This window comes from Homo sapiens, chromosome 9, assembly GCF_000001405.40.
Source record: "Homo sapiens chromosome 9, GRCh38.p14 Primary Assembly".
In the NCBI taxonomy this organism is placed as follows: Eukaryota; Metazoa; Chordata; class Mammalia; order Primates; family Hominidae; genus Homo; species Homo sapiens.
In genome coordinates this window covers 6,237,253-6,263,799 of record NC_000009.12, presented here as the reverse complement: position 1 = coordinate 6,263,799, position 26,547 = coordinate 6,237,253, and the positions used below count along the sequence as shown (strand labels likewise).

The window sequence follows — 26,547 nt, the reverse complement described above, 5'->3', positions numbered from 1 at the left end:
CTGAGAACTGACAGACTGCCTCCTCAAGTGGGTCCCTGACCCCTGAGTAGCCTAACTGGGAGGCACCTCCCAGTAGGGGCTGACTGACACCTCATACATCCAGGTGCCCCTCTGAGACAAAGCTTCCAGAGGAATGATTAGGCAGCAAAATTTGCCATTCTGCAACATTTGTGGTTCTGCAGCCTCCACTGGTGATAACCAGGCAAACAGGGTCTGGAGTGGACCTCCAGCAAACTCCAAGAGACCTGCAGCTGAGGGTCCTGACTGTTAGGAGGAAAACTAACAAACAGAAAGGACATCCACACCAAAACCCTATCTGTACGTCACCATCATCAAAGACCAAAGGTAGATAAAACCACAAAGATGGGGAGAAACCAGAGCAGAAAAGCTGAAAATTCTAAAAATCAGAGTGCCTCTTCTCTTCCAAAGGAACGCAGCTCCTTGCCAGGAATGGAACAAAGCTGGATAGAGAATGACTTTGACGAGTTGAGAGAAGAAGGCTTCAGAAGATCGGTAATAACAAACTTCTCTGAGCTAAAGGAGGATGTTCGAACCCATCGCAAAGAAGCTAAAAACCTTGAAAAAAGATTAGATGAATGGCTAACTAGAATAAACAGCATAGAGAACACCTTAAATGACCTGGTGGAGCTGAAAACCATGGCACGAGAACTATGTGACACATGCACAAGCTTCAGTAGCCGATTTGATCAACTGGAAGAAAGGGTATCAGTGATTGAAGACCAAATGAATGAAATGAAGCAAGAAGAGAAGTTTAGAGAAAAAAGAGTAAAAAGAAACAAATAAAGCCTCCAAGAAATATGGGACTATGTGAAAAGACCAAATCTACGTCTGATTCGTGTACCTGAAAGTGATGGGGAGAATGGAACCAAGTTGGAAAACACTCTGCAGGATATTATCCAGGAGAACATCCTCAACCTAGCAAGGGAGGCCAACATTCAAATTCACAAAATACAGAGAACACCACAAAGATACTCCTCAAGAAGAGCAACTCCAAGACACATAATTGTCAGATTCACCAAAGTTGAAATGAAGGAAAAAATGTTAAGGGCGGCCAGAGAGAAAGGTCAGGTTACCCCCAAAGGGAAGCCCATAAGACTAACAGCGGATCTCTCGGCAGAAACTCTACAAGCCAGAAAAGAGTGGGGGCCTATATTCAACATTCTTTTTTTTTTTTTTTTTGAGACGGAGTCTCGTTCTGTCGCCCAGGCGGAAGTGCTGTGGCGCGATCTCCGCTCACTGCAAGCTCCGCCTTCCGGGTTCACATCATTCTCCTGCCTCAGCCTCCCGAGTAGCTGGGACTACAGGCACCCGCCACTGCGCGTGGCTAATTTTTTTGTATTTTTAGTAGAGACGGGGTTTCACCGTGGTCTCGATCTCCTGACCTCGTGATCCGCCTGCCTCGGCCTCCCAAAGTGCTGGGATTACAGGCGTGAGCCACCGCGCCCGGCCTCAACATTCTTAAAGAAAAGAATTTTCAACCCAGAATTTCATATCCTGCCAAACTAAGCTTCATAAGTGAAGGAGAAATAAAATCCTTTACAGACAAGCAAATGCTGAGAGATTTTGTCACCACAAGCCTTGCCTTACAAGAGTTCCTGAGGAAGCACTAAACAGGGAAAGGAACAACTGGTACCAGCCATTGCAAAAACATGCCAAATTATAAAGACCATTGATGCTAGGAAGAAACTGCATCAACTAACGAGCAAAATAACCAGCTAACATCATAATGACAGGATAAGATTCACACATAACAATATTAACCTTAAATGTAAATGGGCTAAATGCTCCAATTAAAAGACACAGACTGGCAAATTGGATAAAGAGTCAAGACCCATCAGTGTGCTGTATTCAGGAGACCCATCTCACATGCAGAGACACACATAGGCTCAAAATAAAGGGATGGTGGAAGATCTACCAAGCAAATGGAAAACAAAAAAAAAGCGGGGGTTGCAATCCTAGTCTCTGGTAAACCATACTTTAAACCAACAAAGATCAGAAGAGACAAAGAAGGCCATTACATAATGGTAAAGGGATCAATTCAACAAGAAGAGCTAACTATCCTAAATATATATGCACCCAATATGGGAGCACCCAGATTCATAAAGCAAGTCCTAAGAGACCTACAAAGAGACTTAGACTCCCACACAGTAATAATGGGAGACTTTAACACCCCACTGTCAACATTAGACAGATCAACGAGACAGAAAGTTAACAAGGATATCCAGGAATTGAACTCAGCTCTGCACCAAGTGGACCTAATAGACATCTACAGAACTCCCCAAATCAACAGATTATGCATTCTTTTCAGCACCACATTGCACTTATTCCAAAATTGACCACATAGTTGGAAGTAAAGCACCCTTCAGCAAATGTAAAAGAAGAGAAATTATAACAAACTGTCTCTCAGACCACAGTGCAATCAAACTAGAACTCAGGATTAAGAAACTCACTCAAAACCACTCAACTACATGGACACTGAACACCCTGCTCCTAAATGACTACTGGGTACATAACAAAATGAAGGCAGAAATAAAGATGTTCTTTGAAACCAATGAGAACAAAGACACAACATACCAGAATCTCTGGGACACATTTAAAGCAGTGTGTATAGGGAAATTTATAGCATTAAATGCCCACAAGAGAAAGCAGGAAAGATCTAAAACTGACACCATAACATCACAATTAAAAGAACTAGAAAAGCAAGAGCTAACACATTCAAAAGCTAGCAGAAGGCAAGAAATAGCTAAGATCAGAGCAGAACTGAAGGAAATAAAGACGCAAAAAAACCTTCAAAAAAATCAATGAATCCAGGAGCTGGTGTTTTGAAAGGATCAACAAAATTGATAGACCTCTAGCAAGACTAATAAAGAAAAAGAGAAAAATCAAATAGACGCAATAAAAAATGATAAAGGAGATATCACCACTGATCCCACAGAAATACAAACTACCATCAGAAAATACTGTAAACACCTCTATGCAAATAAACTAGAAAATCTAGACGAAATGGATAAATTCCTGGACACATACACCCTCCCAAGACTAAACCAGGAAGAAGTTGAATCCCTGAACAGACCAATAACAGGCTCTGAAATTGAAGCAATAATTAATAGCCTACCAACCAAAAAAAAGTCCAGGACCAGACGGATTCATAGCTGAATTCTACCAGAGGTACAAAGAGGAGCTGGTAACATTCCTTCTGAAACTATTCCAATCAATAGAAAAAGAGGGAATCCTCCCTAACTCATTTTATGAGGCCAGCTTCATCCTGATAACAAAGCTGGGCAGAGACACAACAAAAAAAGAGAATTTTAGACGAATATCCTTGATGAATATCGATATAAAAATCCTCAATAAAATACTGGCAAACTGAATCCAGCAGCACATCAAAAAGCTTATCCTCCATGACCAAGTGGGCTTCATCCCTGGGATGCAAGGATGGTTCAACATGTGCAAATCCATAAATTTAATCCATCATATAAACAGAACCAAAGACAAAAACCACACGATTATCTCAATAGATGCAGAAAAGACCTTTGACAAAATTCAACATCCCTTCATACTAAAAACTCTCAATAAATTAGGTATTGATGGGACGTATCTCAAAATAATAAGAGCTATCTATGATAAACCCACAGCCAATATCATACTGAATGGGCAAAAACTGGAAGCATTCCCTTTGAAAACTGGCACAAGACAGGGATGCCCTCTCTCACCACTCCTATTCAACATAGTGTTGGAAGTTCTGGCCAGGGCAATCAGGCAGGAGAAAGAAATAAAGGGTATTCAATTAGGAAAAGAGGACGTCAAACTGTCCCTGTTTGTAGATGACATGATTGTATATTTAGAAAACCCCATCATCTCAGCCCAAAATCTCCTTAAGCTGATAAGCAACTTCAGCAAAGTCTCAGGATACAAAATCAATGTGCAAAAATCACAAGCATTCTTATACACCAACAACACACAAACAGAGAGCCAAATCATGAGTGAACTCCCATTCACAATTGCTTCAAAGAGAATAAAATACCTAGGAATCCAACTTACAAGGGATGTGAAGAACCTCTTCAAGGAGAACTACAAACCACTGCTCAATGAAATAAAAGAGGACACAAACAAATGGAAGAACATTCCATGTTCATGGATAGGAAGAATCAATATCATGAAAATGGCCATACTGCCCAAGGTAATTTACAGATTCAACGCCATCCCATCAAGCTACCAATGACTTTCTTCACAGAATTGGAAAAAACTACTTTAAAGTTCATATGGAACCAAAAAAGAGCCCGCATTGCCAAGACAGTCCTAAGCCAAAAGAACAAAGCTGGAGGCATCACGCTACCTGACTTCAAACTATACTACAGTAACCAAAACAGCATGGTACTGGTACCAAAACAGACATATAGACCAATGGAACAGAACAGAGCCCTCAGAAATAATACCACACATCTACATCCATCTGATCTTTGACAAACCTGACAAAAACAAGAAATGGGGAAAGATTGCCTATTTAATAAATGGTGCTGGGGAAACTGGCTAGCCATATGTAGAAAGCTGAAACTGGATCCCTTCCTTACGCCTTATACAAAAATTAATTCAAGATGGATTAAAGACTTAAATATCAGACCTAAAACCATAAAAACCCTAGAAGAAACCCTAGGCAATACCATTCAGGACATAGGCATGGGCAAGGTCTTCATGTCTAAAACACCAAAAGCAATGGCAACAAAAGCCAAAATAGACAAATGGGATCTAATGAAACCAAAGAGCTTCTGCACAGCAAAAGAAACTACCATCAGAGTGAACAGGCAACCTACAGAATGGGAGAAAATTTTTGCAATCTACCCATCTGACAAAGGGCTAATATCCAGAATCTACAAAGAATTTAAACAAATTTAGAAGAAAAACTCAAACAACCCCATCAAAAAGTGGGCAAAGTATATGAACAGACACTTTTCAAAAGAAGACATTTATGCAGCCAACAGACACATGAAAAAATGCTCATCATCTCTGGCCATTAGATAAATTCAAATCAAAACCACAATGAGATACCATCTCACACCGGGTAGAATGGTGAACATTAAAAAGTCAGGAAACAGGTGCTGGAGAGGATGTGGAGAAATAGGAACACTTTTACACTGTTGGTGGGACTGTAAGCTAGTTCAGCCATTGTGGAAGACAGTGTGGTGATTCTTCAAGGATCTAGAACTAGAAATACCATTTGACCCAGCCATCCCATTACTGGGTATATACCCAAAGGATTATAAATCATGCTGCTATAAAGACATATGCACACGTATGTTTATTGCGGCACTATTCACAATAGCAAAGACTTGGAACCAACCCAAATGTCCATCAGTGATAGAGTGGATTAAGAAAATGTGGCACATATACACCATGGAATACTATGCAGCCATAAAAAGGATGAGTTCATGTCCTTTGTAGGGACATGGATGGAGCTGGAAACCATCATTCTGAACAAACTATCGCACGGACTAAAAACCAAACACTGCATGTTCTCACTTATAGGTGGGAATTGAACAATGAAAACACTTGGACACAGAGTGGGGAACACCGCACACCAGGGCCTGTTGTGGGGTGGGGGAAGGGGGAGGGATAGCATTAGGAGATATACCCAATGTAAATGATGAGTTAATGGGTGCAGCATACCAACATGGCACATGTATACATATGTAACAAACCTGCATGTCGTGCACATGGACCCTAGAACTTAAAGTATAATAAAAAAAGAAATTTCAGAATATTGAGTCATCATATGATAAAATCATTATAGTCTCACATACATTTGGAAAATATACTTTATTCAATAATATAAACAATGTAGTAGATATATTTGATTATTTAATAATCATTTTAAGTTTATTGTACAGATGCACATGTCAATAATTAGTGTTTTTCAGATGGGATGATATACATTCTGCTTTTATTTTTATCTCTTTGGTAACAATTATTGACAGAACAATGAAACAAAGATAAATTGTTTTACAGTTGTAATACCCTTGTATGGTAATTCTCAGCCTCTTTTATCTTATATTCTACTAGCACTTACATCTAATAGGTCTCAATAAAGTAGAAATGTAAAAGTATGTATTTTCAGAAAAGGTCATATTTCATAAAGATTCTGTTACTATGTTAGTCATTTATCATAAGTGTTAAGTCTAAGAAAAGTTGTAATAGAAATTGCTAAGACTTTAAAATAAAAACTACTCCTTTAGTAGTTAAAAAATGTTATTATATGGTTGAGTATAAATTTTATTGCCCTAGTGACAGTAAAAAACAAAAACGTTTAGCAAAAAAATATTGCCATTAATAGCTTTATCTAAAATTCTACAACAGACAAAGCAGAATAAACGTTTTGGCATCCAGAGGTCAGGTGATACAGAAATGAAGTTCAGCAGGTGCAAAAGATATATCAAGGGCATGGTAGTTAAAAGAAATGAAAAGAGACAGATGTCAAATGAATATTCCACAGTAAGCAGTGTTATCAGGAAGCTGGAATACAAAAAGACTTGTGCACATGGGAAATAAGGATTAGAAGCAACTTTGCCCAATGTGACAGTGAGTATTAAAAGACATAGGTCCCTGGAAGCCAGGGTCAGAAGGGATGGTAGGCCATGGACATGAGGGACAGTCAGTTACTGAAATTTTAATGTTAATTCGGTGTCTCATCTAGGCTCTGGTAGGTTAGAAGATTTCTGGCCTTACCATGATAGTTGGATTATATGGTACTTGGATGCTCTAAAACATGTTGTGACTCAGTACTCTTTAAAAAAAAAAAAGTTTTAGCATGTTACATATTCCTAATAAGTGAAATTTTATGTCTGAACTAAAATTTACTTCACTTCCTCGTGTAAGAATGCCTTGCTTAAACTCAATATATAAAAATCAGAATTTTAAAAATTAAACAATTAGAAATGAAGTTATTCACTTTACAAATACTGGATTTATTTTTCTAAATTTTTTAGTTATCTTTACTTTTTCACACATTTATGTTACCTGGCTTGCCATGTGGGCCTTTGAAGTTCCATATCCCCTGACAGTAAGGGAGATCTGCTCTGAGTGTTGCCTAAGACATCTACAAACAAACCTGGTGTTTTATTCCAGTTGAAAAAATGATAATTCTGTGAAGCATCTGGTCTTCTTTTTACTAGCAGCTCTAGTGTTTGAGCCTATCGTTTGGAACTGTGGAAAATTATTTCTCTAAGTAGCTCTTTAAAATGGATCCCTGTCTACATAGAGACTTAAGCTATGGCTCTTTCCTCAGTGGCCTTAGCTCTAAATATGAAGTTCTTTCTGGACTGAAACTAGAGAAAAGTAAAGGTCAGACTGTATCTCTTTAGAATGTTGACCGTTTCTTTACCAATACCCTATTTAATATACTGATACTTGTATTGAAGATGCAGTTATACAGAGGGAAATAAAAGAATAACTGGAGGATTAGAAAAAATATTTTTATACATAATATGGAAAACATTCCACACATGCTAAGCACTCTTCATTTCCCTTAGATGTCACCTGTCTCTTTCTTTATCTCTCATTCCTTCTCCAGTGGTAGCATTTGGGTACTCAACCCAAGACTCACAGGTTTCCATCAACTAAGTTTCAGAGAGCTTAAACAAGATATTTTCAGTACACAAATTCTCAGAAGAGTCTACTTTAATCAGAGCAAGATGATTATCCTTTACACCTATAAACACTCCAGGATCAGTCTTGCATTCAAATGAAACACAGTTGGAGTGCATATTATGAAGGACAAAGAAGGCCTGGTCTGGCAGTGGTTTTTCACACTTATGGAGCTGAGGAAACAAGAGAGAAAGCAATCCATATGTGAATGGGAAGTTCAGAGTCAACTTTACCTGCCTGTATTGGAAACTAAAGGGGAATACTTATTTATGACTTGATATTTCTAGCAAGCTTGCTTAGTGAGTTGTGGAGGGAAGAGGGGGAGAAGTGAGTAGAGGGCCAGAGGGGTAGTGGGTGGATTTGATTTGATTCACTGATAGTCAACATAGAGAGGCAGTATGGATTAGGGTGATTGGATCTGGATGCAACAGTTCTGGATTTGTACCCTTCTTTTGACATGTACTATCTCTGAGATCTTGGGGATGTTGCTTTATCTCTCAAGCCTCATTTTTTTTAGTCTAACCAGTTTTCTAGATCAGTCAATCCTCAAAATATCTACAGACATGAGTAAATATAAATGATTATTATTTTGAGGCACTAAGTTTTGGGATGGTTTGTTACATAGCAACAGTTGACCAATACAACAACTCCATTGTAGAGTTACTGTGAGTATTAAATAAAATAATATTTGTAAAACATTTAGCCCAGTGCTTGCTATATAATAGAGCTCAGTCTAAGTAGCTCTATTATTGAGTAGTTATACATGCCAAACACTAGATTATATATGTTTAGGAATGTTTTGCTTAGGAAGATGCTGGTTACTATCCACTATTTATGTTAATAAGGCCTTACATGGCTGTGTTAGTTAGCTTTATATTTTTCTGTGTTTGTATAATTTATCTTCTATATTATGCTCTCTTCTGTTTTCTTCCATGCCTCTACCTTTGGCTTGTTTGTCAAAATAGTTATAATTACACATCATGACCAATGTAATAATGCCATTTGCTAACTAAAGAAGAATATGCAATTAATTCTATGTTCAGAATGTAGATGTTAGGTTATTTATAAATCTTGGCACATGGAAACGCTTATGACTCTCCCTTAAGCAGGCTCAGAATGGAAATTTTTTTTGTATTTGTTTAAGAAAATGATATTATACAAAGAAACGTTTCCTAGAGGAACATAGTAGTTCCTAAAGCCAAACAGAAAGGATTTGAGATCATTCTATGTAACAGTGCTTCTCAAACTTTAAGGCACATATGAATTTCCTGGAGATTTATTAAAATATGCTGATTCTGATTTATTTCTGGGGGGCTTAGAATCCTGCATTTCTAACAGGCTCCCAGGTGATGCTCTGCTGCTGGCAGAGAGCAGACTTTCAATAGCAAAGCCATACATGCCACTTTCCTCCCTTCCTTACTCTAGAAGCAAGTCATTTGTAGTAAGTGATTGTGCTTTATATACAATAGCACACAAAAAAATCCTTCTGCAAAATACCCCAACACCCAAATCTACACAAGTTGGTGGAGTCATTCATGACAGTTCTGTAATCATATATATAGATATAGATAAATTTTTTTTTTTTACCTCCACAGAGTGTTCCTTGTTGTTGGCATGCAACCAGAAGTCTTTTGTAGGACTCAGGGTTACCATTAACATCTTACCATCAACACCGTCACCTTACAATTAAGAAAGTATAAATGATAAAGTTAAGAACTGTAACTCATCTTTATTTAAATGAATTCAACACCCAGGAAAAAAGTCTAAGATGTTACATAAAATAATTACTTCATTCACTAACAGGTATCTTAGAAGTATTTGTACCCAAGTTCAAGAGGCACTGATAAGTAGAGGGTACTTATAAACCGGAGAGAAATTAGTTTTCTTATATGCTTTTTAATTGGAGAGTTGTGACCCTAATGGTTACTTCTCGGGGCATCAGCTTTCCTGTCTGCATGTAAAGCCACTCATAGTGTCACCCAATATTCATTCCTCTTTTGGGATAGTAATAGAACATTCCCCAGCTTGCCTTCTTATGGCTAAGTGTAGTAATACAACTGAGTTCTGACCAATGTGAGATAAGAGGAAGTGTTAGGTGCAACTTCTAGGTTGTACCCTTAAAGGGAAATAGAATGCATACATCTGTTTTTCTGTGTCCTGCTGACCAGGCATTGTCATGCTCCCAAGTACTCTTGAACCATGTAGATGTTGGCAGAACCACAAGATAGAAGGAGATGGGTTCCCTGGACAACTTGTTGAGCCATTGCAGCCCTGGCTAAGACAGAAAGTTTTATCTAGCATAAACCACTCTTGTTTTGGATCTGTATTAAGTGTAGCCAAAACTTTATCCTAACGATTAAGCTGTAAAATGGATGAGAATGCATCCTCTGAGAATCTAAGGTTTTACCATGAGCTTGGGTTGGAGATAACCTTCTGAGACTATCTTTTTTCCTATGGGGCAAAAAGGATTTTTTTGGATTTATCTTTACCCCATACTTAAGAATTCAAGCACTACAGCTACCCAGCCCTCCAAATTACCTGATTCATTTGAGGGGTGTTGAGACTCATAGTAACTCAGTAACACCTTATCTGAAAGAGAATGCATAAAATCCCTCTGGTGAGACACAATTTTGTTAAGTTTTCAGTTCCAACACACACATAACATCAGAAAATATCCTCCCCTTTTATTATATATCAATAAAAACAAATCTTTTGTGGTTTTGAGAAAGGTCTCAAAAATGCACGAATATGCTCTGATGAATTCTCCAATATAGTTGTTATTAAAATATTTAAAATATTTTTCATAGCAGTGGCATAAAGGTTGTACTTTGGTGATACTAATAGGGCTAGAAAGATCTGGTGGATAATTTAGAGATAGCAAATACATGTGGCCCCTCTTTCCATCTTTCACAACAGATACTGCATTTCAATGTCAGCATTCTTCTCTGATGAACGTGACAAAGCTTCTGAATCCATCTTGACATAGAAGTGGATTCAGGCACCCACTGCCAATGCATTAGAGTTAGCACACAGCATGACCTGTTTGCCATGTCTAAGTTAATCCATTGTTTAAAGTTTGGTAGATTTATTAAAATGTTTTACTTTTATTAGTCATTATTACATTATTATAGAAAAAGAAAATAATCTACCTTTCTTTTCATCTTTTTTCAAGTCTTCAACATATATCTCATAACTTTCATCCTCCAAAGCAAAAGTAATGGATTGATCATTGTATGTGCTTAGAGAAGCAAGATACTCTGTAATAGGTGAAATTCCTGTTGTTAAGAATTCAAAAATTTGTCAGGCACAATTCTTTTGGCAACCTTTTTAAAAAATGCTCCCTCAAAAAACATTTTTGCAATTTGAGTTGCATTTTGTATGTCACTGTTGGCTAGATTAAAGCCTTTGATACAAGTTTTACATAGCTAAAAGGCTGAGATGTGACCCTTGAATGGGATTAAAGGTGCTAGTGTCCTGCATGAAGGCCCTGGGAGGCCATGTGAGTGTGCTTATGGGAGGGTTTGGTGGGGAAAAAGAAAATGGAAAGCAACAGACATTGCTTGAGGAAACCTTCACTTCATGACACCACTTGGTCTGGGGACTGTGGTAAAGAAGGGACTGTATTTTGATAGACATGGATAAATAAATGTTCATCTATAAAGTATGGAGTTACCCAGAAGTTTCTGACAGTCCTGGAGAATGCGGATATAAGCCCTGTTCTCTCCTCTGGCTAAATAACAGGGACACTTAGTGCAGTGCTCCCAACTTTTAAAAAGTGTCAAAATACCCATAGAAAATGATAATATTTTTATAGCCTGCTGAGGTAAACTGGAGCAGATTTAGGGACTACTCAGATGGGGCCTGGAAAAAAATAGTATACAAAATATTAAGGAGAATGTTACATACTGAATTTGTACATGAACTTCTAAAGTAAATGATTTAGAAATACTTAATGAGAAAACTTCAGTGTTGCTTCTGGGAATTTAGGACATTTATAGCAGGAATAATGCTTGAAATGGCAAATGCAATTTCCAGGTAAAGTTGGTTTTTTTGTTTTGTTTTGTTTTTTGTTGGGTTTTTTTTTGTTTGTTTGTTTGTTTTTTTTCTGAGACAGCCGCTCTTGTTGCCCAGGCGAGAGTGCCCTGACATGATCTCGGCTCACTGCAACCTCTGTCAAGGTTCAAGCAATTCTTGTGCCTCAGCCTCACAAGTAGCTGGAATTACGGGTGCACATCACCACAACCAACAGATTTTTGTATTTTTAGTAGAGACAGGGTTTCGCCATGTTGGCCAGGCTGGTGTTGAACTCCTGACCTCAGGTGATCCATCAACCTCGGCCTCCCAAAGTGCTGGGATTACAGGTGTGAGCCACCACACCTGGCCAAGTTTTTTTTTTAATGATGATCTCTTCACTTCTTGAAGTCATCATCAACTTGGAACCTTATACAAGGAAGTGATAAAATTTAAAACCATCTTAACTACTACTTAAAATGTATAAAGTGTTAGAATTATATTTAAAAATATAATAGCTCTTTTCTTTCATGGTCAAAATATTGAAATTTGGGGGGAAAATGTGTTTTTTTCCCAAAAGATAACATATTTTCACCAAAACTAATGACCATGGGATTCCAATCCATTGCAAGTATTTCAAAATAATGATGGAGTGCTAACTAGAGAATGCATGTACATTATTAGAACAGCTACCTTGCACCTACTTTGGATACTATTAGATGGGTACATCAGCTGCAAATGGGCAGAAGTTTCTGGTACACATTAAAGACACAGACTTGGGACTGCTACCTGGAGTAGCACTTTCCGGGGTCCTGTGTCATACCTCCCTCCTCACTCCCACATCACCCCTGTAACCAGTCATACCTGTGATACTTGAATCATGAAGTGCTCTAGTATATTTCTGGACCCCTGATATACCAAAGGCAAAGCACTCCACAGTAGACTGCTGTTGACAGGCAGCGAGTACCAGATGTCTTTTGTGCTTTCTACCTGCAGACCGGATGGGATTAGGGATAGACCATCAATCCCCACTCTGCACAAATGCCCCTTTGAGGATTCCCAGTTAAGGCTGCTTGCTGAGAGTAGTGATTGACTCCAGGGCTTTGGCCACTTCATGGTCCAAAGGGATTGATACCTCTTGGCACACTTATTCCCCAGTAGAAGCACACTCATTAGAGATCAGGAGGAAGAAAACTAGTCACCCACAGTCTCAACACCCAAAAGGCAAGCACTATTAATGCTTAAACCTATTTCCTTTAAATTAAAAAAACACTTAAAAATATTGTAAACATATTTACACATAGTTATGTATCTTTTGTTTTCACTTAACATTATAACATAATCATTTCTCTCATGCTATTGAAAATTCTTTATATGCCCTTTTAAAAATAGCTAAAAACCAGTTCATCATTCTTAATATTTTCCAAAAGGAACCTTGGAGTGAGGAAAAATAATTGCATATTTAGATGTGGTAAGTGAAGGCAAACAGATACTTATCACTATTGCCAGAGAATGTACGGTTCCCCTTACCTGTTTTCAGTGAAGGCCTTTTGGTGGTTTCTCTCCTAAAGTAACAGGCCTCCTTTTTTATCATAAGGCCAGAGCGGAGCTTCATAAAGTACATGGGGCAAACTTCTTTGGCCTTCTGTTGGGATTCTAAACAATTGAAAAACTTGTGAGACTGTTTCATTCCATTCATCTTTATCCTTCTACAAATCCTGAGTGTAGCAGACCAAGAAAGCAAGTACAGGTTCACAGTATCTTATCAGAAATCCTTAACTCAGCTGTGTTTCAAAATTCGGAGTTTTTTAGATTTTAGGATTGTAATATAGAGCATATAGTGCACATATGTAGCACCCCAGAAGAGATGGGGGCAGCACCCCATAATCAAAATTAGTTAATTTTATATTGAAACATAGGAAAATTTACACAAAGTGAAATAAAGACCTTATGTTAGTTCACATCAGGAGTTAGTTGATGTGAACAAGAAATGAGTTTAGGTCATATTTTGCTGTCAAATAAGTTCTGAAAAACTTTAGGTCTTTAGAAAAAAATTTTGGTTTTCAGAATTCCATATGAGGGAGTGTGAACCTGTATCCAACATATATCAACCTTTGCCTAATTGAGGGGTATCTTTTACTCATATGAAATGTGCAATCTTTTCTCCTTGTCTAGAACACTTTTAATAATTTTGGAGGGATTGCTGAAGTCTACAAAGGTTACTGATATTAAAATAACTACCATTTGCTAAGTGTCTACAGTGGGCCAAACGCTGTGCTAATGATTTTACATATGTCTCCATTTAATTCTTCATAATAATCTTGCAAGATGGGCATTATTGTCCCCATTTTACAGATGATAATCTGAGGCTCTCAGGAGTCATGACACTTGCCCAAGATTACAGAGCTGGCGAGAAGTTGTGACTGAAGTGTGCCTAAAATCAAACCTATTCTTTCCACCACCATCCACTTACCGCCATCTAAGAAAATGCTACACTACAATTTGAGGGACTAACAAAATGCAAATTCAAATTAAATCAGTCAAAGTAAAAAAGTTAATTATTCAGTAATTATTTCATTTTGCTAAAGAAAAATCTAAGTCTCAAAAAGAAAATTAAATTTGCTACTTGGAAAATCATAAAAAGTCTTTCAGAATCAGGTAGAAAAGAAAATTGTAACACATGAGTCATAGGATCTCAATTTTTAACATTATGTAGTAAATGAATTATCAAGCAATTTATACAATGAAGTCAAATTTCAATTAGTCACAGTAATTCAGAAAATAAAATATTATTTGTGACTCTGGGATTCATTTTATGAGTTAAAAAAATTCTCCAGTGGATTTGCCTTCCTAAAATAATGCTTTTTAAAGATAAGTGGAAAAGCTTTTATTAGCTATTATTTTGAATTAATCCACATCTTGCTTCCAATTCAGATGAGTAGGTACCTTTAACTATCTTCAACTGATTTAATAAGGGGAGACCACTTAATTATATTCACACCCACTCTAGAACTCTCTACCATTGATTCTTAATGCAGAAATATCAACGGTGGTATCTTGTATTTATATTTTAGTGCTTTTACACTTACAAAGATAATTCATAAAGAAAACTAGTGCCAGAGCCAGCATTGTACTTATTCTCCTGACAAGTAATTTAATACAATACTTTACTGACTGTTGTATTAATTCATTTTCTGCTACTATCACAGAATACCATAGACTTGGTAATTTATAAAGCAAAGAAATTTGTTGGCCAGGTGCTGTGGCTCACACCTGTAATCCCAGCACTTTGGGAGGCTGAGGCAAGAAAATTGCTTGAGGCTAGACATTCAAGACCAGCCTGGGCAACACAGTAAGACCGTCTCTACAAAAAATTTAAAAAAAAAAAGTAGCTGGGCATGGTGGCCTGCTCCTGTAGTCTCAGCAACTTGGGAGGCTGAGACCAAAGGATTGCTTGAGCCTGGGAGTTTGAGGCTGTAGTGAGCTATAATCATGCCACTGCACTCCAGCCTGGGTGACAGAGTGCGACCCTGTCTCTAAAAAAAGAAAAAAAAGATAGAAATTTATTTCTTACACTTCTAGAGGCAGGCAAATCCAAGAATATTATGCTGGCATCTGGTGAGGATCATCTGATGGTGGAAGGCAGCAGTGAGTAAGTCAGAGAGGAAATCCGGAGAACTCACTTTTATAACAAACCCAGTCTCTTGATAACCAAACCACTCCCATGATAACAGCAGTAATCTGTTTATGATGGTGGAGTTCTCATGACCTAATTACATCTTAAAGATCCGACCTCTCCGGAGGTTGCAGTGAGCTGAGATAGTGCCACTGCACTCCAGTCTGGCGACAGAGCGAGACTCTGTCTCAAAAAAAAAAAAAAAAAAAAAAAGAAAAGAAAAGAAAAAAAGATCTGACCTCTCAACACTGTTACAATGGTGATTAAATTTTAGCATGAGTTTTGGTGGAAACATTCAAACCATAGCAACTATATCACATTGTCTTTTCAGAGCTAAAAGGCATAATATGATAACTGAAAGAACACTCACTCCTTATATTCTTTATATTTTAGTCAGCATCACATGGGAACGTGATAGGCATGCCTAATACTGAGTGTGGACTCTGGGGGGAACAGGATATCAGTCTTGGGTAGTTAAAAGTGAGGGTCACAATACTGAGGAAGTACTGAAGATGTGGAAGTCTTTAGGAGATAAGAAAGTTAAAGATGTACATGTGGGGGCTAGCATCTAGTAGGACAAGCACTGGTTATAGTTCAAGGATGGGGGTTACTACATTTGAAGTATTGAAAACACTTTGCATCAGGAGAATTTTGAAGAACATATGCTTTGGTGTTTTGGGAAGCTGAAAGTGTGAGGGTTGTGTTCTGGAGAGGAAAGTGCAAAGCTGGCCTGGACATGTGGACTTTGCAGGAGAGAGCACTCCACTGGGGTCAAAGAGCCAGCTCAAATGTATATAAGGGCTGTTACCACTTTCCATGTCTCTATCCTGCCTGCTCGCTGAGGGCAATGGCTTAGTATGAATTTTAAGAAAATTCCCATAGCTAATTTAATCATAACAGCAGCATGAATCCCTCAGGGATTTCTTGTGAGTAAATAGGAAGGGCCCTGGAAATCTTTCTATAATTCTGCCACTCAGAGAACTAGACTATGGCTGATAGGAAACCACAGAGGTGAATCACTCCGTCTTTCGTTTCTTCCCCAAGCACGGATTTTACCAAGGTGTCTTCTTAACTGCTTACTACCCTTGACCTGTCTGTGGCATTGGACTCTCAGGACCACTTCTTTCTTTGAACCCCTCTTTCCTTATGCCATGTCACCAGTTTCCCTAGGTTCTTCTTGTTTCTCTCTGACTACTGCACCTTGTCTCTTTGTTAGTTATCCCTCTACTGTCTGCTCATAAATGTTGGTTTTCCTCAGGGTTTTGACTTTTTTTCTTCTCTCACTCTTAAACTTTCTTCCTGGGCAATCATGCTTGCTCCAATGACTTCAATCACCTTTTTAGAGGCTGATGACTCCCCAAACTGTAACTCTATCTTTGGTCTTTTTCCTGAGCTTTCTATCTGTTTTTCTTTCTCCCCAAGTCATTTTGACCCAGCTACTTTGAAGCATAGCTGTCTCTTTCTGTGTATATCTTCTGAATTCTGGATATCTCTACCTGGGTGACCTGCAGCTACCTTAAACTAAAGTACACTGGTCTTAGTCTCTTTTCTGCTGCCATAACAAAATACCATGGACTGGGTGATTTATAAAGAAAAGAGTTTTATTTGGTGTCTGGTTCTGGAGGTTGAGAAGTCCAAGATTGAGGGGCTGTAGCTGATGAGGGCCTTCTTGCTGTGTCATCACATGGTGGAAGACATCACACATGGTGAGAGTGCACATGAGGCAAAGAAAGGATGGGGACTGAACTTCATCATTTTTATCAGAAACCCAATCCTGTAATAACTAACCCACTCCCATGACAATGGCATTAATCCATTAATGAGGGCAGAGCCTTTATTACCTAATCACCCCTTAAAGGTCCCACCTCTCTTTTTTTTTATTTTTATTTTTTTGAGATGGAGACTCGCTCTGTTGTCAGGCTGGAGTGCAGTGGTGCAATCTTGGCTCACTGCAACCTCTGCCTCCTGGGTTCCAGCAATTCTCCTGCCTCAGCTTCCTGAGTAGCTGGGACTACAGGCGTGCGCCACGGTGCCCAGCTAATTTTTGTATTTTTAGTAGAGACGGGGTTTCACCATGTTGGCAAAGATGGTCTTAATCTCTTGACCTCGTGATCCACCCACCTTGGCCTCCCAAAGTGCTGGGATTACAGGCATAAGCCACCGCACCCAGCCGGTTCCACCTCTTAATACTATCGCAATGGTAATTACATTTCAACATGAGTTTTGGAGGGGACATTCAAACCATGGCAGTCCTTATAATAAAAAATGTCTTTATCTTTTTCTGCCCCCAATATATTTCTCCTGAATTGCCTATCTTGAGAAATAGTACAACTATCTATCATTATCCACCCAATTCTTTTTTTTTTTTTTTTTTTTTTTTTTTTTTTTTTGGAGACAGAGTCTTGCTCTGTCACCCAGGCTGGAGTGCAGTGGCGTGATCTCGGCTCACTGCAAGCTCTGCCTCCCGAGTTCATGCCATTCTCCTGCCTCAGCCTCCCAAGTGGCTGGGACTACAGGCGCCCGCCACCATGCCCAGGCAATTTTTTGTATTTTTTAGTAGAGACGGGGTTTCACCGTGTTAACCAGGATGATCTCAATCTCTTGACCTCATGATCCGCCCGCCTCAGCCTCCCAAAGTTCTGGGATTACAGGCTTGAGCCACAACACCTGGCGTCTACCCAATTCTTAAATCAAAAAGCTGAGAATCATTTATTTTTCCTTCTTTCCATTCTTACAATTCATTCAATCTGTCATTAAGTCTTTTTGATTTCACCTTCTGAATATATCTGAAATCTAGTCCGTCCTCTCTATTCTGTTGTCTTAGGTCACACCTTCATCATTAGTCCCTTAGATTAATGCAGTAGACCTCTAACCAGTTTCTGTTTCTACTCTTGCCTCCTCACTTTATCATCACACTACTATCATCACACTTCACCAATGTGATCTCTGTAAAGTAAAAATATTTTATCATTCCTCAGTTCAACATTTTCAATGATTCCCTACTGTCTACAGGATAAAGTCAAATCTCCTTTACTGTAACAGATCTTCTATGGATAGACTCAAACTAAAGGGGTTGATCTCTACTCAGTTCTAGCCAACTATTGCCATGCAAGATATGGACCCAGTGTTTCTAGATCTTTGGATTTTTTTAGAGAAACTATACACATTTAGATTTTCATTAAAAATATCCTATTTTTTAAAAATTGACTCAATTAGAAAATATCAATAACACCGTTCAATCCTAATAAAATACTCCTGCTGGATGGATCTATCCCAAGGCTCCCATATTGTGACCTCTGGCTAGATCCATGAATGAAGACGGCTGGATTTTTAGGGAAGAGAAAGTGTTGATGGATGTGGGGGAAAGAAAGTAGGAGAAGAGGAAAGCCTGACCCTGGGAAGTAGGGAAGTAGCTTCCTGGAAACGGGGAAGGGAAGGGTTGTGAGAGGCTTTCCTCCAGGTCATGAAGTCCTGTACCCTGCTGGCATTAGAGGCAAAATGCCCTGTGGGTGACCACAATGTGGGACTGACTGTGGGGACACCTGCAGTGGTTGGCTACTAAGTTTTGTAGCATTGTGAACTGTGGCTTGTGTTGGATCCTGGTAGCTCAAGAGAAGAGAAGGAATTAAATGTGCTTTCTTGCCTTGTGTCTTGGCATCTTAGAGCAGCAGCTTATTTAGAAAAACAAGATATGACATATCTTGCATTTTGAGTTGAGAAGCAGTTTACACCTGTCACATACCCCAGAGATATCTGTCAAATTTTTCACCAGGATTGTTTAAATAATCACAGTTTTAGTGCAGTAACTCTATCCTGCTTGCCCCCATCTGTGGGTTTACTTTCCATGATTTCAGTTACCCACAGTGAAATACAATAAGATATTTTGAGAGAGAGAGCAGACATTCACATTATTTTCATTACAGTATGTTGTTCTAATTGCTCCACTTTTTTGTTGGTTATTGTTAATCTCTCATTGTGCCTAACTTATAAATTAAACATTATCATGGGTATGTATCTGTAGGAAAAAACATAGTATATATAGGGTTCATTACTATCCATTGTTTTAAGCATCTGTTGGGTGTCTTGGTACATATTTCCTGCAAATAAGAGGGGAGGACAATATTTAACTGAGCCAATATTATTGGAAAGAAAGATCTGTTAAGGGCCAATTAAAATAATGTGATGTATTTGTAAAGCCATACAAATGAGTTTGAGATTATTTTTATCACTGTCCTCTAAATGGTATAGGTAAGTAGTTAGGGCCACTGTTCCCTTAAAGGAGGGGTTACATTTTAACTTTTGTATCAATACCACCAACTCTGGCATAAACTCTAGCCCACTCCCTCATTCCAGTTTCTATAAAGAGCCCATACTTCCTGAGGTACAAAGAAAATGTACTTTTTATGAGAGGCAATTTAGGGATGCAAAGTCACTGAGTCACTGTTTCTACAGAGAGCATTTTGACTCAGCTACAAGTAAAAGGATTGGTTCTGCTGTGATTTCCTGGTTGTTCAGAAACCACAGTCAAATTAGTGCTTTCCCTGGTCACCAAAGAACAGTGTGGGTGGGCCACAGCCTCAGGGAAGACAGAATGAGACAGAAATGATATTAACTCTGCTTTCTTTTCTAGCCTTAAAGATGTACAGAGAAATGGAAAGGAGCATGAAGGACAAGGTTATGCCAGTCCCCACCATCATTCCTTATCCTCCATTTTCTTTCCTGTTCACCAAGGCTCCATTAACTTACTTTTGTGTTACTACTCCCATATGAAAAACAGATCCTAAAATTGCATGCTTTCTGGCCAAGTGCGGTGGTTCATGCCTGTGATCCCAGCACTTTGGGAGGCTGAGGCGGGTGGATCACTTGAGGCCAGGAGTTCAAGACCAGCCTGGCCAACCTGGTGAAACCCCATCTCTACTAAAAATACAAAAAATTAGCCAGGTATGGTGGTGTGTGCCTGTAATTCCAGCTACTTGGGAGGCTGAGACAGGAGAATCGCTTGAACCAGGAGGCAGAGGTTTTAGTGAGATGAGATGGTGCCACTGCACTTCAGCCTGGGAGACAAAGTGAGACTGTCTCAACAGAAAATAAATAAATAAATAAATTTGCATGCTTCTTTCCTAGGACAGATAATTTTAAGGATCAAAGAGTTATACAGCCCTTTAATCTCAGAGCTATAGCTGCCACCTGACTTTACTTACCTTCTGTCTTACTACAAACTCTGAGTTTGCAGCTAGATAGACTTGAGCATCATTTGTTGGTTCTGCTTTATTTCTATGGTTTGGCTTTGGTTGGTTTGGTCCCACCAAGTCTCCTGTTGAAATTTGATCCCCATTGTTGGAGGTGGGGCCTTGTGGGAGGTATTTGGATCATGGGGCAGACCACTCATGAACAGCTTGGTGCCATTCTCACAAGAGCGAATTCTCACTCTTAGTTTGCAAGATGGTTGTTGAAAAAAGGTTGGTCCCTCCTCTCCTCTTTCTCCTGCTTCTGTTCTCCCTCTGTTCTCCCCCTATGTGACCTCTGCACATACTGGTTTCCCTTCCCTTTCCATCATGAGTGGAAATAGCCTGAAGCCCTCACCAGAAGCAGATGCTAGCACCATGCTTCTTGTACAGCCTGCAGAACTGTAAACCAAATAAACCTCTTTTGTTTTTAACCCTTTCCCATTTGCCCAGAGAATAATTACTGGCAGTGCTTCTGCAGTGTTTAAGATAACTTTGCCACGAAAGATCTTGCTTTTATTATTATTTTTACATCTCTCTAGTATATCAACTTTGGAAACAAAAGACATCATTCTATTTATGTTTTTAGTAGTGGTATTTTCATTGATAAAATATAGTAATTCTTGATCGCTGAAAATGTCAAATCCTGGAAAATGTAGCATTCCTACATGTGATGTTAACATTCTTGAACACTTCTTGAACAGTTAGTTGCTTGCTGAAGTTTCATTTGGTGAATCTCATTTTTTCTGAAATAGACAATGCTGATGGTAGTTCTGTTTAGAAATAACTCCAAGAACAGTTTTTGTATTCTATTTTTGCATTGAAAATCAGATTTGCTTCAGCCTCAAAGAGATGTTTATGTAAAATTAAATAAGCGCTGGCAGCAAGCTGCACTTTTTTTTCTAAATGGAAAAAGGGTTAAATTACCCAGCTTCAGGTATATTTCTATGGTAACACAAATTGACTAAGATGATTATTCAAATATCTTCATCTGTTATTCTCTTCTTCATCAGTAGTCGCAAGTTAAGACCACATGCCTGATACCACCAAAGGTCTTAATGAATATTTGTTGAATAAAAGTGGACCTGCTTAAAAGTTTGCTAGTTTATCAGGGAAAAGGTTTTGGGGGTTTGGCAGCAGGAGGTGTGTGGAGCAAAAAGTGGTTGATATAAAAGGCTATAATTAAGTTTATCACTATTCACAGGTTCAGATTATCTCAGCTATTCCTGCCTGGTGATGTATCAAATATGCCAAAGTTGGCTATATATGGTTGGTTCAAAACCAGTCTGCTGTATTATACCCTTATGTGCCATCTCTTTTTATTTTAGTTCTTGTATTCTTAGTAGATTTTGATAAGATAGCATGTATAAACATTGGAGTATAAATATTTGATAACAGATAAAAATAGTGCGTAAAACATTCAGAGATAACTTAAGTCCTTACTTCCCAGCTTGAAACACAAGGCTTTGCTTGCTGTGTTCTTCCACTTTGCTGTGGAAATTTTGTTGGTTGAATACTTCATTTTAGGCTTCATTTTTCAGTATTCTGTTGGATTAAAATATAATATTAGTTCATTTGTCTCAACTTAAAAACAAACGGAAACAACTGTGGCTAGCTCACTACCAAATTGGTAACATAACCATATAGAGGAAATAATTATTTCAGTAAAGTTTGAACGTAGTATTCTAACTATGCATTCATGCTAGGATATGGTACTCTGCACTGCATAATGAGGCTTTGGTCAATGGATTGCACATATACAATGGTGGTCTCACAAGATTATAGTGGAGCTGATAAATTCTTATCACCTAGTGCTGTTGTAGCCATCATAACATCCTAGAACAATTCATTACTTGCGTGTTTGTGGTGATGGTGGTGTAAACAACCCACTGCACTGCCAGTTGTATAAAAGTATAGCACATACAATCATGCATAGTATATAATACTTGGTAACAAATGACTATGTTACTGGTTTATGTATTTGCTATACTATACTTTTTATCATTATTGTAGATTGTGTTCCTTCTACTTATTAAAAAACAAGTTAATTGTAAAGCAGCCTCAGGCAGTTCTGTCAAAAAGGTATTCCAGAGGAAGACATTGTTATAGGAAATGACAGCTCCATGCATGTTATTGCCCCTGAAGAACTTCCAGTAGGGCAAGATATGGAAGTGAAAGACAGTGATATTAATGATCCTGACCCTGTGTAGGCCTAGACTAGGGTGTGTGTGTTTGTGTCTTAGATTTTAAGGAAAAAGCGTAAAAAGTAAAAAATTAAAATTAAAAATGTTTAAAATAGAAAAAAGCTTATAGAATAAGGATATAAAGGAAGAAATTTTTGTACAGCTGTATGATGTTTGTATTTTAAGCTAAGTGTTATTACAAGAGTCAAAACATTAAAAAAACTAAAAGTTTATAAAGTAAAAAAGTTATAGTAAGCAAGGTTAATTTATTATGGAAAAAGGAAACAATTTTAAATAAATTTAGTGTAGTCTAAGTGTACAGTGATCATGAAGTCTATAGTCGTGGTCAGTAACGACCTACGCCTTCACATTCACTCACTACTTATTAACTCACCTAGACTCATTTTCCAGTCCTGCAAGCTCCATTCATGGTTAATTGCCCAATACAAGTGCACCATTTTTAAATCTTCATACCATATTTTTACTTTACTTTTTCTGTGTTTAGATATGTTTAGATACACAAATACCACTGTATTAGAATTGACATTTTATAATCTATTCTCTCTGAAGCCTACAACCTGAAGGCTTCCTCTGCAAATAAGAACTTTGGTTTCCACAATCCTTTATTTTAACCCAGACATTCCTTTTTATTGATCCCAGTTGACTGTAGTCTTTTATCCCTTACCCATCTCCCAGCTGAACCCCTCCACCCCACGCTTCAAGTTATCCCACCTTTCTGGACCAAATGAATGTATTTCTTAAATGTATTTGATTGAAGTCTCATGTCTCCCTAAAATGCATAAAACCAAAATGCACACCAACCACTTTGAGCACATGTTCTCAGGATCTCCTGAGGGCTTTGTCACAGGCCGTGGTCACTCATATTTGGCTCAGAATAAATCTCTTCAACTATTTTACAAAGTTGGACTCTTTTTGTAGATAGTGGAAATACTGGTACTGAAGTTCTGAGACTGTTTTGTTATACTTTAGTATAGAGCAAATAAGTAGATACATTATGTTACATGGTTTTGACTGTAGGGGAAAGGAGACACAAACATAAAAGAAGTCATGAGAAAACCTATGGAATGTTAAATATGAGTCAGCAATATCAGTGTGCCCATATCTTAGTTTCTTAGTACTTTCTCCACCGAAAGGAACAGCTGCTCCAGATCTGGAGCTGGTAAAGTAGTGGTGAACATGGAACATCCTGTTGTGCCAGAAAGCAGAGTCACTAAAAAACTAGTGAGGCTAGTTGAATAGGGAGGGGTCTAGTCATTACAGAAGGAATGATAGCATTGAAATAGGCCTCATTGTCTGGGATGCCACCCGGAGTTCTTGGTCCCACAACTGAGGAAATCAAGGAAGGTGGACACACCAAGGGTGAGGTTAGAGCAGAAGTTTAATAAATGAAAGAAGGAGAGAAAGCTCTCTGCTGCAGAGAGGGGCCCTGAAAAAGGGTTGCTATTCTATAGTGGAATACAAGGGTTTTTATAAATGAGCTAGTGGGGAGGGGGTACTTTATTTACATAAGGTGTGAAAAACTGGTTAGGACTAGGTGTGTCATTTGCAGAAGGCATGAATTTCTGACAACCCCCACGCTGTCCTTCCAGTGTGCATGTGGGCTCGTAGCCTAAGTTACTTCATGTTGTTTGACTTCCCTTACTGTGCACGTGTTGGGGATAGAATCCTCCATTGTGGACATGCCTAGCTCAGTGTAACTCCCCTTATCTGTGTAGCTGTAGGCATGTTCCAAGCATGCCCTCCTGAGCAAGCTTCCTTATTTGAATATAACCAAAAAAGGAAAGGAATGTGTTCACTGAGGCCAACTGAATGTATATGAAATTTGAAATTTGCTGATTACACAGAAGGCACTCTTTTGTGCTGGAGCTTGCTTCCTTTTCTATGTTTGCGGCTTGATCTCTCAGGCTGCTCTTTGTTAGAAGAGCAGTTCTGCCGAGGACTTTGCCCTATTTGCCTAGCTGGTTTCTTTGTTCTTTCTCTCTCAGAATCAGACAAATCACCATCTTGCAACCCCCAATTTAATACTTGATTCAAGCAAGGGACATCAATCGATGTGATACCTTGATGATCAAGCTGGGTCACTGTATCGTACTGAAAAAATATGGAGTTCTGTATCATAAATTGCAGAAAATTCCATATTCTCTTAGTATGGTTCTGCAATCTGGCTTCGACATCAGGGTATGACACTGTGCTGTGGTTTGTGGAGGGAGCAGGACTTCTTCTCCAGTCTTAAACTCTCTGACATTGCCTGCAATTCTATCAATAATTATTGCTTCTTCTTTTTAAGTATGGCCTCCTGTTTTGCCACACTACAAACAAACAAACAAACCAAATTATCCCAGCAGTGGTTACAATTTAAATCTCTTATGAGCTTCATATGAATAATCTCTTCTAGCAGTTAAAAGAAGAGCATTGAGTTCTTGGATTAGAGGACTCGTTAGAAGGTAAACTTTAGGCACCCTATTTTGTCCCTGGACAAACCTCTGGAGGCTGAAACTCCAGATGATCTTGTCTAGGTAGAACTGCTATAACATTATGTGCATGCCACCTATTTACATCCAGTCCCATGTGCAAAATCCTCAATGGTCAGCCAGTTGAAGACTACCTATTCTGTCCCTCAGTCTTGCCATGGGAGTAAATGTTGTGCTCACACAGCTTGAAGACCTCACATGAACTTTTATTTTCTTCCTCTGATTCTCCTACCTTTTTTGGTCAAGAATGCTTAGAAGCAGAGGATCTTACATATCATTTTACTGAGCCCCTAACTTTACAGATGAGTAGACTGAAACTCTGAAGATTAAGTGCCTCACCCAGGATTATGAAACAGAACCAGGAACAGAATCTAGCCTCCTGACTTCCATCTTGATGCCAGTACTTCCCTATCCTGTCTCCCTCCATTCTTTCTCCCTTTCCGCCTCAAAACAGGAAGAAAATAATCAGAACTGGGAATTTAACTCCAAACACTCAGCCTTTCTTATACACAAAGCAGTTGTCCAACTTCTTTGAAATAATAAGTTTCTGAATATGGTTGTTAATTTGTAATCACGCATTTGGAATAATAAGATAGGGAACCCAATTGTAGTTGTATTTTAAGTTGTATATAAAATAGTTTAAATAGTAACCTGCACACAGTAGATAATGAAGTAACACTTTACTAACATAAAAACTGCATTGCCTTGACGTTGTTTGTTTTCTCTTCTACCCAAAGATACTTATATCCTAGAAAAAACAATTCCTGGTCATTCAAAAAAGTTACTTTTTTTAATAATCTTAGAATATTTTAACAAAAAGTTATATTTTCAAATAAATATGGGAAATGTTCCAATCTACATTCTATCTCTAGGAGAGTCAGAGTCATGTTAGCATAGAAAAGGTGTTGATAGTCCTTTATTGAAGACTCATGGGTACCTTTGTTTAACTATTGTTTTCAGTAGTTATTTGATCTCATAACCTTTTTCTCCCGTCTTATCACCCTCATGGACTAGTTTGAGAGAACGCACTTGGAAGAACTTTGCTGTAAACCAGTATTGGCTTGTATAATTGAGCAAGATAGAGAAGCTGAAAATACCACATTTACAATGGAGTCATTGACACAGAGAAAGTCAACACCCTTTATAGAACCACATGATAAGTCAAAAGCATAGTCAGGAAATATTTTCAAATCCTATTCTGAAAAAGTATTTTCTTCAAATAACCTGCAAATTCTTTGCCTTGATCACTCTTTTCACCATTTTTTTCATACTAAAATTGACTCATTACTCCCCTATTTTTA

At 38.3% G+C, this 26,547-nt stretch overlaps 1 protein-coding gene and 1 long non-coding RNA gene across 16 annotated transcripts in view, besides 1 other annotated feature; one reads left to right on the top strand and one right to left on the bottom strand.

Moving 5' to 3' along the window:
- LOC107987046 (uncharacterized) overlaps positions 1–26,547 on the top strand; it is a 100,037-nt gene that overhangs the window by 64,469 nt on the left and 9,021 nt on the right. The window lies entirely within an intron of this gene.
- Positions 5,817–26,547, bottom strand: part of IL33 (interleukin 33) — a 42,835-nt gene continuing 22,104 nt past the window's right edge. For 6 of the 15 annotated variants that reach the window (XM_047424062.1, XM_047424061.1, XM_047424060.1 and 3 more), the window contains 7 exons: positions 22,015–22,116; positions 13,201–13,326; positions 12,535–12,660; positions 10,809–10,934; positions 10,198–10,248; positions 9,247–9,338; positions 5,817–7,832 (listed from right to left, as the gene is read on the bottom strand). In XM_047424062.1, the coding sequence (XP_047280018.1) occupies positions 7,632–7,832; positions 9,247–9,338; positions 10,198–10,248; positions 10,809–10,934; positions 12,535–12,660; positions 13,201–13,326; positions 22,015–22,105 (813 nt within the window). In that variant the 5' untranslated portion in view covers positions 22,106–22,116 and the 3' untranslated portion in view covers positions 5,817–7,631. Of the gene's footprint in view, positions 7,833–9,246; positions 9,339–10,197; positions 10,249–10,808; positions 10,935–12,534; positions 12,661–13,200; positions 13,327–15,244; positions 15,330–22,014; positions 22,117–26,547 lie in introns of those variants that run through there. The other 9 variants (XM_017015285.2, XM_047424064.1, XM_047424063.1 and 6 more) reach the window with 5 other exon arrangements.
- Positions 19,876–19,975: a silencer, noted in NCBI's record as "silent region_19763". NCBI's record gives its function as "represses an Ori minimal core promoter by ATAC-STARR-seq in GM12878 lymphoblastoid cells {active_cell/tissue: GM12878}" and the evidence as "EXISTENCE:reporter gene assay evidence [ECO:0000049][PMID:35858748]".